Source organism: Homo sapiens, chromosome 5 (assembly GCF_000001405.40).
Source record: "Homo sapiens chromosome 5, GRCh38.p14 Primary Assembly".
Lineage (NCBI taxonomy): Eukaryota > Metazoa > Chordata > Mammalia > Primates > Hominidae > Homo > Homo sapiens.
The window spans coordinates 66,486,147-66,503,205 of NC_000005.10; positions in this window are offsets into that span (position 1 = coordinate 66,486,147).

The following is a 17,059-nucleotide window of genomic DNA, read 5'->3' on the forward strand; positions in this document are numbered from 1 at the left end:
GCTAGCATTTACTAATACACAGAAGCAACATCCTTGACAAATTTTATCCTACAAAATTAATTGCCAAAGAAAATTAGTCTGAATAGAGACAGAAAGGCAGTGCTTATGAAAATGTTGAACTCAAATATTTATACATTTTAATTTTTAAAGGTAGAATTGATGCTATCCTCCATTTAGTAGAATTTACTTTGAGCTTCCTGCATACTTCAGCTCCTGTAAGAGTGTATTTTCTAATCTAAAATATTATAGCCAGGCCAGGTGTGGTGGCTCATGCCTATAATCCCAGCACTTTGGGAGACCAAGCCGGGTGGATTGCTTGAGCCCAGGAGTTCAAGACCAGTCTGGGCAACATGGCAAAACCCTGTCTTTACTAAAAATACAAAAATTAGCTGGGCATGGTGGCATATGCCTGTAGTCCCAGCTACTTGGGAGGCTGAGGCGGGAGGATCACTTAAGACTGGGAGGTTGAGGCTACAGTGAGTTTTGATCGTGCTACTGCACTCCAGACTCCAGCCTGGGTGACAGAGAGTGATCCTGTCTAAAAAAAAGAAAAAGAAAAAAAATATATATAGTCTACCAAGAGAATTCAGTTTAAGATATCAACAATATCAAATTTAGTAATTATAAATGCAACTTTGAAAATATGAGAATAAGTTTTATGAAAAATAAGGAAAAATTATACAAAATATACTTAAAAAAGTATATGGGTCAGAAAAATAACAATCATATACCATTAGAAAACAGATATAAATTTGAAAATTAATTAAAATACATGAATATGTTCCAGGAATCATTATTCTGTTGTTTAATGTTCAAATAATCAATATAAGAAATTTTTGAAAATTTCACTTTAATATACATGGACATGTAATTTTGTTTGTGAATATGTTCATTTAAATTTTCTAGAAAGCTTTTATATTTGAAAATAGTTTGAACAAAACAGTTTTGTTGATCCAGTTATATCATGATACCAATTTGTTAGTTAATAAGAAAAAGTCTGTAAACATTATGTAACTAGTTATTCTTAGTGCCTTTTTACTCTCAATGATATCCTGGTTTGGATGATAAATTACATTACCCTAGTTGTAATTATTTGTCATGTACTCAGAATGCCTGGACTTCTGGGTAATAACAATAAATTGATATTAAGTTCTCTCTCCTATAAAGCCCACCAAAATGACTTAAGAGAATAAAATGCTTTAAGTCCATAAAGCCAAAGAGTAGAGGCATGGAAACAAAGAATGCAAAATGGCAAAAATTGCTATAAGATTTAAGGCAGATGGGTGGGGGTAACTTATTAAACAGAGCCAAGAGGCTTCAACCCACCTTTGTGCCTACAGAGGGGCAAGCCCATCACTCCGAAAACCCCAACAGCTTCAGGCCATGTAGAAAAGCACGGGTGAGGCATGAGGGTGAAAACCAGGGGTGTTACTGAGAGAGCCTGGGTAATGTAATGATTACCAGCCTTTCTCAACTGGGGATTCTACAGAGGATTAAACCCTGCAGAAAATGGTTTGAACTACTAATCTCTCATTTCTCCCAAGGACGGCACAAACTTACTGCCTGTCTCCATGCATGGGAGGGAAGTTTATTCATTCCCTATAATGGATGCCTTAGCACATCAGAGCTGAAGCCTCTTGCAGCACCCCAGCTTCGAAGGACCAGCTTCTTAGAAGGGCCGCCTGCCACTCTGAGTAGATACTGTTGAAAACACTGAATTCTGAAGCCCTTGGGTCCCTTCCTCCACCTTGCTTCTTGAATGCCAGCAACAGGATTTATACTCTGCTGAGGCAGATTAAAAGATTCTTCCCTGGGGAGATTGAAGAACTACAGAGAAAAGACCTACAAATACTGATAGTGAAACCCTCCAGTTGACAAGCCCTGCCCAGACCCCAAGTTTTCAATCAACATTTTAGAGTCTCCCTCTTACATATGAGTGTCAATAGATTGCCAGAGGTTTGAAGGAGCCATGGGTGTGAAAGACAAAGGCCAATATCAGCAAATAGAAGAAAATAAATTCCGAGGCAGCAGAGACAATGAGAAATTGCAAGCTTTAAAGTAACTGCTAACTAAAAGCCTCAGAGATACATTGCATCCATGAAACAAAAAGAGTCAGAAATGTGTTGGATATAAACGTTTCTGAAGAACATTTTGAACGTAAAGTTGAGGAAATCTGCTAGAAAACAATAGAAAAAAAGGAAAATAGGAGAAAAAAAAGAAGAAAATTAGAGAATGGATTGAGGATCTAAAAAGAATTTTAGAGCTAAAACATAAAACGGAGAGGAAATCATTCAGGAAAGTATATAAGGTTCCCTAGACTGAAGGACTCACATCTCTAGACATAGAAGGTTCTATCAAGTTCCCTGCACAAATAATAATTTCAGAAAGATCCATATTAATGCGTGTTAAAGAGGGAATAAAGCAGGTCACATGCAAAGGACGAGGAATCAGCCAGGCATATGGCTAATACCTGTACTCCCAGCACTTTGGGAGGCCATGGTGGAAGGATTGCTTGAGCCCAGGAGTTTGAGACCACTCTGTGCAACATGGCAAGACCCCATCTCTATAAAAAATTTAAAAATTAGTTGGGCATGGTAACATGTGCCTGTGGTACCAGCTACTTGAGAGGCTAGGTGGGAGGATCACTCGAGCCTGAGAGGTTTAAGTTGCAGTGAGCTATGATTGCCACACTGCCCTCCAGCCTGGGCAACAGAGTGAGAGGCTATCTCAAAAAAAAAAAAAAAAAGGGAATATAAGTGACAACAGGTATCTCATTGGCACCACAGAAAGCTTGACGGCAAAGGAGCAAGGCCTTCAAAGTCTGAGAAAAAGAGTCTATGTTTAGTTTCTATAGCGGAGCCAAACATACTGTTACTCTAACCTCCTTGGCTATTGTTTAAGCTACTATTAACCTCTTGCTTATCATGTTGCTTATTTACTTCTCAGGGCTAGCAGGTATCTGGAGTTTCCCTTGAAAGAACCCAAGATTTTCCCTTATTTCCATGCTTGGGTGGCCTGCAGGCCCCTAAGAGGCATCCCTACTCCCAACCTAAAATTCTTAACCCAGATAAATTATCAATCAAATATGAGGGAAGAATAAAAACATTTTCAGACACTTACCTTCCATGCATCCTTAAAGAGTAACTAGAAGATGTTATTTAGCAAAACAAAATGAGATGAAATAGTTCCCTTGACCCCTTTGCAGGACTCATGAAGGGATGGCTCACTTACTCAGCGCACAGTGCTCAAGCCCCTTGCAGGAAGGGGAGCACGCAGGTAAGCAGGTGCAGGGGCTGGGGTGAGTGCCTTTGGGAACTAGCAGGGACAAACCCTGTACTGGCCTGTGGCAGTGTCTAGGTGTTGCCTGTGACCTCTAAAGCCCCAGAGGGGCATGTGTTACAGTGTGCTATTTTAGCTTTCCTGTCCAAGGATGGCTGACATGTTAAACAGCTCAGTGGAGAGTCAGTGTGACAGCCTCTCGCACCTGCACTTGGGTCCTTATCCAGTGCCCAAGAAGAAGGAGATCACATGGACTTGAAGGATGATGAATGTGGAGATTTTATTGAGCACGGGAAGTGGCTTTCAGTGGATGGGGAGCTGGAAAGGGGATGGAGTGGGAAGGTGGTCTTCTCCTGACTGTAGTCTTTGACCATACTACTTCCCCAATCATAGTTTCTGATGTCCAGCTGCTTCTTCTCCTCTCAACGGTCAGACACTTTTCTCTTCTGTGTGTATGTCCTTCTCTGCCATGCTGCTCTGCTCCTCTGCCAGTGGAGCTTAGGGTTTTTATGGGCACAGCTTAGTGTTTTATGGGCACAGCTTAGGGTTTTTATGGGCAGGCCAAAAGGCAACATCTGGATGGGAAAACAGAAATGTGAAGTTCTCATTTAGGGCCATGAGTTCAGGCTTGAGGGCAGAGACCTTGCCAGGGACCCTGCCGTCTTCTACTTCTTCTACTCAGTATTTCCCTGCCTCCTGTCTGTATCAAAGGGACTAAATCAAGAAAAGAGGATTCAAGAGATCCAGAAATGAAAATCCAAAAGCAGTGAAGAGAAGTCCCAGGATACTTGTGTGCAGCAGCCTGGGTGTCAATCAGCTCCCAATGGGACAGAAGGACCAGGGATGCCAGGAGGGAGGTCTCCAGGAATGAATTGCGACCAATAGATGTTGTAATAAGTCTGACTAATGAAAAATAGTGTCAAGAGCAGTTTTATAGAGATGTTGGAACTGTAGGAAGAATCAGCAAAAGGCACACTGAAAATTAAGCAAATGGAAAAACAATAAGATCAAATAAAGAAAATCATAAACATTACTTGGCTTAGCAATACACAACATTCATTCAACCATAATTGTATACACCTTAGTGTTAAGTAAACAAAAAATTGTGATTTAATCACTTTGGGAGATTGACAATAGAGGAAAGGAGCCAACGTCGTAAATGAATCTGTTTGTAAAAAACACTTTCAACCAAACTTTACCAGGCTCCTGTTGTGTGTCCAGCTTTGTGCTAGGCTGAGAGAGCAAGGTAATGAAGATGTGTCTGTAAGGATTGCACAGTCTGATGGGAGAGATTGCAAATTAATTTGTGTTAATAAGCTGTTTCCAGCAAATTCTCTGAGGCCTTGGTTACAGGTCTGCCCGTTCCTTTCTGAAAGCTCCAATCCTTTAAATGGATGGCAATTTACACTTGAAAAAGGATTCTTAAGTTAGCAGTATTTTCACTGCAGGGACCTTTTCATTGTGAGCTTTTGGTACATTTAGTATTTATTTACACACAATTAAGTGTTGTATAAAGTTAGAGACAGGCTGCAATCCTAAATTTCCCTTCCCAACCAGGTAGAGTGTTATATCCTTGGATCTTAAATATACTCAAGGAATTGCATAACTTTCTGCTCACTACTCTATATTTATCTCTTGGCAGGGGACTAAGCTCCACTAGGCTTGCCCATTTCCTTGGGCCTCTATGAGTACTATAGTTCCCCTAGGATTCATTATATTTATGGAACACTTATATGATTCACTTGATTCAGAAACAGGATGATCGTCCTGCTTCAACATACCATTGGGAGGAGGTCTGGCAAGGTCTGAAGGTGAACAACCTCTTTGACAAGAAAGGAGGGCATTTCCTGATAGGAAAATGTGATTTTAAAAAAATTAAGCCATTGGACCTCTCCATTAGAAAATGAAATCTTGAATCTTTGAAATTTCTATCCAATAGTATGTTCTGTGATATGGGAATGTTCTGTGCTGTCTAATACCTTAGCCCCTGTGGAATTGGATTTGTGTGACTATATAGCACATTGGACTATGATGCTATTTAGTTTTTAAAATGTGGTTGGTGAGAACAAGAAACAGAAGTTTTAATTTCATTTAACTTTAATTCATTTAAGTTTATAATTAAATGGCCACATGTGGTTAGTAGCTACCATGTGGTACAATGCAAGTCTAGAGAGAAGCTGTGTTATCTGGTTCAATAAGTCACTAGATAATTTTTTAGGATTTTCTCAACCTCTTATTTTCTCTTATTTAGGAACTAATAATAAGAACCTAGAACTATAAGGGCCTGATTGATTATATTAGAGATAATGTAAAAAGGGAGAAGTAGAGATAGGCTTAGGGAATAAAATAATCCAAGGTGGAGGCTGAGGTAGCAGCTAGACATGAGAAAGACAAAAGTAGTGTCTTTGAAAGATGAGAGTGATGGGGTGGGAGGGAAGGAAAGGGAGGGAGGTTGAGGCGGAGAGAGGAGGGAGAAAGAAAAAAAGGAAAGAAGAAAAGAAGGAAAGGAAGGAAGGAAGGAAGGAAGGAAGGGCCCAGTGGGCTTTCCTTGCCTGCTGCCTAGACAGAGACAATTTATCAAGACAAGGGAATTGCAGTAGAGAAAGAATTTAATTTATGCAGAGCCGACTGTAGGGGAGACCATGGTTTTGTTATTACCCACTCAAATCAGTCTCTCCAAGAATTTAGGGATCAGGGTTTTTAAGGACAATTTGGTGAGTAGGGGCCAGTGAGTCAGGAGTGCTGATTGGTTGAGTTGGAGATGAAGTCACAGGGAGTTGAAGCTGTCTCCTTGCACTGAGTCAGTTCCTGAGTGAGGGCCCACAAGACCAGATGAGCCAGTTTATCGATGGTGTCAGATAAACTGTCAGATGAGCCAGTTTATCGATGGGTGGTGTCAACTGATCCACTGGGCCTGCAAAGTATTTAAGCACTCATTTTAGATTTTTCAATAGTGATGTTATCCCCAGGAGCCTCCAGCTACATGACTCCTAAAGTATAACTTCTAATCTTGTAGCTAATTTGTTAGACCTACAAAGGCAGTCTAATCCCCAGGCAGGAAGGGCGTTTGTTTTGGGAAAGGGCTGTTACCATGTTTGTTTCAAAGTTAAAGTATAAACTAAATTCCTCCCAAAGTTAGTTTGGCCTAGGCACATGAATGAACAAGGACAGCATGGAGGTTAGAAGCAAGATGGAGTCGGTTAGGTCAGATCTCTTTCACTGTAATAATTTTCTCAGTTATAATTTTTGCAAAGGCAGTTTCAGAGTGGAGGAAGGAACCAAGGAAGAAAGCTTACAAAACACATCATTGATGAATGACTGAGCCTGGGGGCTACAGGCTGATAGGAGAACCCAGCCTACTGACAGATCACACTACAAGCAGTGTGGACTCAATTCTTTCATTCATCTTATCACATTAACCACTCATTTATCTAAGTAATGTCTTCCAGTTTAAACATTTACATTGCCATGAATAAATGAAAATGTATTTCACCTTGGTTAGCATAATCAAAGCTATAATTTTCTTTAAAATTAATAGATGAAGTCTAATATATACATTTACTAATTAGCAATTTGAACACCATGTGCACAATGGTACATGTACACAAACACACACTGATATCTTACCTTACCTCGTTTCTGTAAATTACCTAAATCTTTCCTTAATTTATTGACTGAAGAAATACGAGCAAAGAGCCCAAGGAATTTCCTGTCATTTCTCTAGAATGCATTATATCTTCCCCTCAGCTTGGCAATAAGGGGCCCTAACCTGAAATGTACAACTTGAAAATTTCACACACACACACACACACACACACACACACACACACACACGTGTGCTGCTTAGTTTTTAAATACGTCTTTGACTAAATGAATAGATGACCAGAATCATCTGGGAGCTCACTTTCTATCAGAAGAAATAGCAAGTTTCTTTGGTCCAGATTTGGTCAAATGCCTTTTGTCTTCAGAAAAGTATTAAAATTTATCCTAAATTATCATAGATCTGTAAATCTAGGCTCCAAAAGAGACTCCCTTTGGAAAGTAAAATGTAATAAAATTTTAAATAATTCAAGTTCGACTCACAACATTATTACCAGGGCTCATTGCCTCGGAGAGACCATTACTACATCAAAGGGGACTGTAGGAAGAATTAGTTAAAACTCTGTAGGTTGATGAAAAAGAATTGATTCAATGGTGTTTATTTATAATGAACACAAATATCTATAGCAATACTTGAAGTAATATGCTTAATTATATTTAGAACTTTATGCTAGGTTCTGAAACACTTGTTGACTTCTTTCAAAAGTCAAGACTTGCTCAGCAAGTCTTTATTTAAAGCGCTTAAGAGATTGGCAGGTTAGCAAATTTCAGCAGATTAGTGGGAAAAAAACAGCACTGTCCAGGAAAAGATAAAACAGACATTTTGGATAAAATATTCTTCAGAGAGGCTGAAATTTTAGCACCTTTTCTTTCTCAGCTTCTTCAGTTCTTGTACTAGAAAATTATAAGGGTACAGATACATTTACAGTGACATATATTTGTCAGTCAGTGACATTTACTGGGTCTGCCCTCTGCAGAAACGTGAACTGACACAGTGTGAGGGATTCAAAAGAACTGCAAGACCAGATCTTCCTCTCAAGAAATTGCACCTGAAAATAGATGAAAAACATATTCATAGAATAACACAGCAAGAGCATATGAATAGAGTAAAATCTCTAGGTACGTAATTAATGAAGGCTCATTGAGTAGAGGAATTGGGTCCAGTTAATCAGGAAAAGTTCTCAAGGAGAGATTTTAAAGCCCAATTTGAAAGGTGAGAAAGAGCTTAATGGAATGGGGTGAGAGGATACATCCCTCATTGCTTACCTATCCCCGCTTACAGATGAGTGTAATTTGGGGCTTGTGCAGCCAATGTCACTCTTCATATTGGTTAATGGTGTGACTGAAGCAAGGCAGCGTTACACTGAAAATGCTGCTCAAGTGCCATGTTACAGGGCAGGCAGGGGACAGGTTGGTATTCTATGATCCTCCTCTCTGAATGGCAACTTCCAAGCTAACCTCAGATCAAATAAATAACAAGAGTACAGAGGCTTCTTAAAAAGAGGGAACTGAGGTCAGGAAAGCATGTTGTCCATTTTGAAACAAAACAGTTGCTAAGCAGAGCTGACTGGAGGCACTATGAAAGAAGGAGGGCCCATAGGAGAGTGCGCCCCCTGTGGACCACGGGGGTGGCAATGGAGCGAAAGGAAGCCCAGGTGTTTCCTACAAGGTAGGGAGGAAGTATGTTGCTAACTACCAGGTGCCAAATACCTGCTTCTGCTCAGGTAAGGTGATTGCCCTCTCAAGGAGCAGGGATGGACTGGGGGCGGTGGGTGGCAGGAAAGGTTATGAGTTCAGGCGATTATGATATGGTGTAGCAAATGTTATCCTAGAGGTGAGTGAGAACACAGTGAGGACCCAGGGACATGTGTTGCCTGGGAGATGTCTGAAGACCACAGAGCTTGTGAGTGACATTTGACTTTTGAATCAGGCCGTGAAGACTCAGTAGTCATTTTCTAGGTAAAGAAGGTTGGGAGTCATTTCAGGCAGCGGGACAAGCCAGTAAGAAAATATAGAAGCATATAAGGGATGTTTCATGTTTAAATTATACATTTATTTTGTGAGATTTTTCTGTGTCTAAAAAGGCACAATCTGCACCTTAGAGGAAAGACCCCTACCTTCTAGGCAAGGGAGAGATAAGGAAGAAATGTTGGTCAGCACACTTGTGTAAAGTAAAGCAGTCTCATGAATCCAGCTGCTCATTTGTACGAAATCCCAAGGTCAGAAGAACACGCTGGACATCAGGGAGCTGTCAGCAAAATCCAGACTGTGGCAACTCAACTGGCCCCACTTGCACTGTAAGGCAAAGAAAAGGACTGTGGAGGTGTCTGCAGGTCAAAAGAAATTTAAAACACATTAGTGAAAAACTGGGCCAGACAGAACTATAGTTTTTGTCACTTGGTGAAAAGGAAAAACATAAAGGAACACAAGAAAGAGACTTCTATGAGAATTTGGGACCAGGGCACATGATGGGATTTTTGCAGTCACTGGAAAGTTCTTTTCTTGCTCTGAATGGTGGTTATAAGGGTGTTTGCTTTAATTGTTCATTAAGCTTAACATTTATTTTGTGAGGTTTTCTGTAGAAAAAAATTTTTAAATAAAATTGTAAGTAAAACTTTTCCAAGGGTGAACTGAGTTCCATGCAGAGATGAGTCTCACTTGTAGACAGAGGTCTTGCTGGAGCCAAACCCAGGACCATCTTAACTGAGCCAGAGAGAGTCTGACAGGAAAGACTGAACCTGCTGAAGGCAGCACAGGTCAGCTCTGCCTTACTCAGGCTGTGAGAGCACCAATGCTGAAGGCACACTGACCCGCCTGGTGAGCCATCCGCTTCCACACCTGCCTTTCCCAAGGCAGCAGTTTGTATCAAAAAACAGCCAAATAACAAACTATATGCATTATCCTAGGTTCTCCTTGCTAGAATGCAGCAGATATTTGATTCCTCCAATTACTGGGTAACTTTAAGTTTTAGGTAAGTTGGCTGAAAGTGTATTCATTAACTCTTCAGTTTGCCTTTTAAGATGGAGAGCAATGTGGGTCTAGGGCAGAAAAAAAAAAAAATAAAAGCATGTGCAATTCTCTCCTACCAATAATCTATGCATTGTGCAGGCCTGGTGTTGACTTTCAGATCACATCCCCCAGTTCCTGAGACTGTCGCACATGTTTGTTTTCTACTAAGGCGTTAAACATCTCAAATGGTAGGTGTCAGCATTCAGTGTACACGAGTGCAGCCAGACATTAAACAGGATAATAATAAAGCAATAAGTAATATGGTTAAACAAATACATTCCCAATTGCCCTTGTCTTCTTCAAACATCTAATGCAGATGTTTCCGTCCTTATTAGTTCAGTGCTTTGGTCTCTCTCTGCTTTTCCCCTGGCATGGTGGAAGCAGTGTGTCTCGAAGAGAGCTTTCACATGGAGAAGGCTGTCAGCCTCTCTTAAATATAAGCAAGTAAAAGTAACTAAGGACTGTTTGTGTGTGTGTGATGCTTTTGATACTGGTCCCTGTAGTCATTCTGGCTTGCCCGTTTTAATGAGTAAGGTTTTCCTTGCTGTCTTCATATGTATTATTAACTCCATACACAGAGGTAGGGAGGATATGTAGGAAAAACAAATCAAGGATCAGATGCTTCAGGTCAACAGGGCGTTCACAAACATACACTTTTCAATGTCATGACCAAGGTCAATTGAAACTGTAACACCACTTGGCAGAGGGAGAAGAGACATAGGAAGAGCTTTCAAAGTTTAGAGGAATGAACCAGCAAAAGTTAGCCAGCATGTATTAGTTATTCATATAAGAGAGAGCTCACTTTAAATATTAGTTTTCATGCTGCTCTTTTGTACAGAATTTGTGGGAGGCTAAAACCTCAGCTTCCTGGTATCCTTTTGAAATGAGTTATTCCAGATAGCTGAGCACAATGAATGCCAGAAATTCATCTAATTAAGCACAAAATATTTTTAAAAGCGTATTGGGTGGAACTTTCTGGAAAATGTTTTATGAACTCTTCTGAGTGGCCAATAGAAAGAGTACAGACTTTATGTTCTCATTGTTCAATTCCCACCTGTGAGTGAGAACATGCAGTGTTTGGTTTTCTGTCCTTGCGACAGTTTGCTCAGAATGATGGTTTCCAGCTTCATCCATGTCCCTACAAAGGACAGGAACTCATTCTTTTTTATGGCTGCATAGTATTCCATGGTGTATATGTGCCACATTTTCTTAATCCAGTCTATCACTGATGGACATTTGGGTTGGTTCCAAGTCTTTGCTATTGTGAAGAGTGCTGCAATAAACATACGTGTGCATGTGTCTTTATAGTAGCATGATTTATAATCCTTTGGGTATATACCCAGTAATGGGATCGCTAGGTCAAATGGTATTTCTAGTTCTAAATCCTTGAGGAATCGCCACACTGTCTTCCACAATGGTTGAACTAGTTTACACTCATCAACAGTGTAAAAGTGTTTCTATTTCTCCACATCCTCTCCAGCACCTGTTGTTTCCTGACTTTTTAATGATCGCCATTCTAACTGGTGTGAGATGGTATCTCACTGCAGTTTTGATTTGCATTTCTCTGATGACCAGTGATGATGAGCATTTTTTCATGTGTCTGTTGGCTGCATAAATGTCTTCTTTTGAAAAGTGTCTGTTCATATCCTTTGCCCACTTTTTGATGGGTTGTTTGATTTTTTTCTTGTAAATTTGTTTAAGTTCTTTGTAGATTCTGGATATTAGCCCTTTGTCAGTTGGGTAGATTGCAAAAACCAAGAAAGCTGGAATACTCACAGCCCCATTTACTAATTCAATGTCCTTTGGTAAATTAATTATCTTACTGAGCTTCCGTGTCTTAACCCTGTAAAATGGGCACAATTGCATTATATAGTTAAGTATCAAGTAAATATTGGTTAATTGTGAGAACTCTTCATTACTGACCTCTCTTAGGCTACCAGCCTGGCTCCAGTCTTTCACATTTTAGAAAGACATTGTCAGCAGGGCACAGTGGCTGATGCCTCTAACCCCAACACTTTGAGAGGCCAAGGCAGGCGGATCACCTGAGGTCAGGAGTTCAAGACTAGCCTAGCCAACATGGCAAAACCTTGTCTCTTCTAAAAATACAAAAATTAGCTAGGCGTGGTGACAGGCGCCTGTAATCCCAGCTACTCAGGAGGCTGAGGCAGGAGAATCGCTTGAACCCGGGAGGTGGAGGCTGCAGTGAGCTGGCTGAGATCGCACCACTGCACTCCAGCCTGGGAGACAGATGGAGACCCTGTCTCCAAAACAAACAAACAAAAAAACAAAAAACAAAAAAAGAAAGACATTGTCTGGAAAAATGCCAATGTCTCACCTGGAAGGTCACAGAAAGGGTGGAAGGATACACTTGATGATGTTGGAAGAATCCATGGTTTGAGGGCTTCTAGAAGGAACTGGAATGTTTGCATAGAGCTGGTTCTTAGGGCTGAGTATGCAGCATCTGTGTGATATGGTTGAGAACTGAAAGTTTCCCCTGCCATCTACCTACCGTCATAGGATGCCCTTTTGGGGTAAGACATTAGTCCTCTAGAACTTTTTTATTACACAGGGTTTTAGAAGGTGTGTGACAGACATGGCAAGACAACACACGATCCCTCTTCCTTGAAGAGGGATCTTCAAGGAAGGACACGCTGCCCAACTGCAAGACGTGTGCTTAGCCACAGCTTCCAGCTGTTAATTCAGGGTCAGCCTCAGCTTACTGGCCAAGATCACACTCTTTTTGGAACATCTGCCAGCCAGTGTCTGACCAAGGGGATGACAGCTGAGGGCACTGAGAGCATGCTTTTTTCATCATGGCTTTCAGCCAATGACTTTGGAAGACAGTGGTGCTAGGCCCTGACCATTTTGGCCCAACTTTGGAGCCCTCTACTGGGCAGTAGCTCCCATTGGAAAGGCAGAGACTGTCATGTCTGTATCACCATCTGGGGTTCTTCCTGCCCGATCTTGTTTCCTCTTCTTTCCTTTCATAGTGTTATTCCCTAGTAAACCTTTTGTACACCTAACCCTGTCTCAGCATCTGTCTGCTTCCTGGAACAGAATGGGTCTCACGTCACCTAGGGCGGGAGGAAGCATTAGCACAGCTTAGACCAGTGAGTCAGGGACCAAGAATGGGGCAGACCTCTGCACAGTTTAAAGAGGACGAGAAAAGTTGTGAGGGCACATTAGGGGAGACTCCAGGCAGCCAGGGGACAGCTGCAAGAGTTGGGGTTAGGGAAAAGGGCAGTGCTGTCTTCTTCACCATGAGCTGAGGACCCGACATGGAGGGGGATCCACTCAGGGTCATGGCGATCAACCAGGAATGGGGACAGACACAAGGCAGGCAGGGAAGTTGCTGAACTGTGCTTTACACAGGTGATCTTCAACCTCACAATAACTCTGCCAAGTTCCATACAAATAAGAAAAAATGAGACCCAGACAGGTTTGATATTCCTTTAAGCTGGTAAATGGTGAGAGTCAGCCTGTAGCTCCCTTGAGCTGAGATGCCTCTGGAAAGAAGGAGATGAATATTTCATACTTTTTTGGATCCGCTCAGCATCTTTTGCCTTTGGGAATGGGTGGTATTCATGCAGCCCTGCCTTTCTCATGATAAAGGGTGGGCGGGCAGGGAGTGGCAGAACACAGACTGACCAAACAGATTACTCAAAACCCCTGGATTTAAGGAATGATCTGGGGAGAGCATGTGACCCAAAGGGGCCAATCAATGTATTACCCTGCCTAGGAAATGATTTGCTAGTGCAGTACTGCTAGGTCTAGGGTGTTTTGAAATGTTCTGAAGGGATTTTTGGTGACTTCCTTAAAAGGAAGATGTCAACTTAAGTTTAACTACTATAGTCGGCAGATACTCTATAATCTTAGAAATGGGAGGTATAAGGACAAGTTTTAATTGTTCAATACATAATACTTAAAAAGGAAGGGCCGGGAGCAGTGGCTCAGGTCTATAATCCCAGCTACTCTGGAGGCTGAGGTGGGAGGATCACTTGAACCTGTAGGAGTTTGAGGCCAGCCTGGGCAACATAGCAAGACCTCCATCTTAAGAAAACAAAGTAACTTAAAGGGAGGGTTGTTGAGTATTATTCCAGACTTGTACATGGAAAATAGATACTGTCTAGGCCTGAAATCCCAGACTCCAATGGCTGGTTTTATACCTGTCCCATCGTCAGGCTCCACTGAGCTGCTGCCTCGTGTCTCATTGGTTTTATGAAACACTTGCATTAGCTGGTGGTTATGGTAGTTCTACCCTCAGGGAAAGTGCTGCTGCTTCTTCTCTGGTTCTAAGATGATATGTCTGACAGGGTCCTTGAAAGTACCTCTAGCACTCCTTGTTTCAACGATTGTGAGTCGTATCGTACACAGTTACTCCTATGCCAACTCTGCCCCCAGGGTTTGGTTTGAGAGACGCACTCAGTGTTCAGCCCATCACCCTCAACTGCTAACTTGCTGGCTTCCCCAGCTCTCTATTTCACTGTCTCCCACCCTCCACCACATCCTAGTATTCAACAGCTCATTAATATATGTAGTAATTAATTATACATTAATTATTATATGTAATAATAAACAGAGCCAATGGACTTGGCCTTGTTTTAGGTATTGAGGATACAATGGTGCACAAGACAGACAAGCATTTGCCTCCTTAGGGTTTCAATTCTCGGGATAACTCACAATTAAATGCAAGTTGACATTCAATTAACTGGCCCACCGTATTCCATAAACACACTTCTCTGTGTCCACATACATCCTTCCCCATGTTTTGGGGGAGAAACTGTCCCTCTACCTACCACTTGGTTACCTGGGATATTTCCTATCCCCTCTTGACTCCTCATGGAAATTTCTCAGTAAATCAATTCCTCACTTCGTTTGCTAGTTTCTTCATTTGATTGGCTAATTCCCTGTGCATGTAAATATGAGCCAATAAAGTGAAGGGCTCATACAGCCCAGTCTTTGGGTGATACTAAGAAAACAAATGTGGCAATACAGGTAGAGATTGCATGAAAAGCAAATACACCTGTACACACATTAATGCATTTTATCCTTTATTGTGTGTCATTAATCAGATTTCTAGAACCCTTTTTGAATGAAAAAAAATTAAACTCTTGACAAACAGTGGTCTCACAAAGATGCTACCAACTGGTAAAGTCTTTCTGAAATGATTAGCTCTTCCCATTTTCTGATAATTCTGTCTAAATGTGCTTTAGATATATTGAGACTATTTGGTTAGATGCATACAAATCCAAAATTTTTTTTAAAAAAATTTTTGGTTAATTTCTTCCAATTATCAGAGCATGATGGTCTATTTTATGCCTAGTTATTGCCTTAATGTTTATTTTTTCTGGCAATATTGTCACAAATCTTTTATTATTCCTTTATTATATCACTGCTATCTCATGTTAAACATTCTGTGTTGCTAAGTTTCAGACGTGACTCTTCTAAATAGCTTATAATTTGAGTTAGTTTAGTTTAAAAAACAAAACTAAACTAAACACGGGAGCCCCCTGTCTTTTAAAGTAGTTGAATTCATCTACATTTGATGCAATTTCTGAGGTATTTGAATTTATTCTGCCTTTTATGTTGTGTTTTCCATGTATCATTGTTTGTATTTCCCTTTTGTTTCCTTTTCTGACTTCTATTGGGTTTAAACTTTTTAAAAAATCAACTTTTTTTTTTTTACTAGTTTGGAAGCTACATATTTCATTTCTATTTGTATGAGTTTTTTCTTTAAAAATTTTAACATGCACAGCTAACAAAATCTAAATTATTGTTGCTTAGTATTTTAGTTCCATCCTATTTTCAAAACCTTCAACATTAGAAATTATTATTAAAGCATATTGAATTTACCCACAGAAAAGAGGCCTCGTTACTCAACATTGCACCCAACTTCTTCCTTCTGGGTTCAATTTCCTTGTTTTCTGAATTATGCTTTATACTAGTTCTTTCAGTTGAGGCTATGTGGGTTGTAAAATCTTTCAGTATTTGTCTCGAAATGTCTTTATTTTGGCCTTACTCTTGAATAATAACTTTGCAGGGCATAAAATTGTAAGTTGCCTTCTATTTTCTGTGAAGATTTGATTCTATTGTTTTTTTTTTTAAATTCTATTTGTTGCTGATGAGAAATTTACTCTTAGCCATCCCTCTATAGACACTCTGTCTTCTCTGGTTGTTTATAAAAAGTTTTTCTCTTGATCCTTGCATGCTGAAGTTTTGCTACAATATGACTCCGTGTGGATTTCTTTATATTTACCTTGCTTGGGGCTTGGTATCAACCTAACGATCAAGCATGTAAAAATTCAGGAAAATTCCATACCATTTTCTCAAATATTGCTTGTCACTCATTTTCTCTGGACCAGTGGTCAGCAAACTATGACCCATTGGCCAAACCTGTCCACTGCTTGTTTTTGCAAATAAAATTTTCCTGGAACCTAGCCACACACATTTATTCATATAATTTTTATGGCTGCTTTTGTACTACAACTGCAGACTTGAGTATTTGTGACAGATTTTATGGCCCATGGAGTCTAAAATATTTACTGCTTATTTCTTTACAGAAAAAGTTTGACAACCTCTGCTCTAGACCCTCATTCTGAAACTTCTATTAGACATAAGTGGGCTTCATTTTCTACTTTGTGTGTTTAATCTCTAATTTTCGTTTTTTTACAATTTTATCTCTCTGTGCTGCATTCTGGGTAATTTTCTCTGGAGCATGTTTTAGTTAGTACATTCCTTTAAAATTATGTGTAATCTAATATTTAGTCCATCAATAGAATTATTTATTCAGTGATATTTTTCATTGCTGGAAACTTTTTAATTAAATTTTAAAATCTTTTTGTTCTTTGCTCATTATGGCATCTATTCTCCACCTCCATTGCCCATTTTGAATGTTTTTAAATTGATTCATCACCTTGAGTTTTTATGGTAGTTAACCTTCTGTTTGTATTTGCTGGCTCTTATTATGGTGCGTCACGTCCTTTAGTGGCATGTTATTTTTGTTTGTGAGCTCATCTTCAGTGAAGATTTGATTTTTCTTCCTGTAGTATTTTAGTGTGTCCCTGGGTTTTGGACATATTGAGAGGTGACAGCGTGCTGGCAGCCCTCGCAGCCCTCGCTTTCGGCACCTCCTCAGCCTTGGTGCCCACTCTGGCCGCGCTTGAGGAGCTCT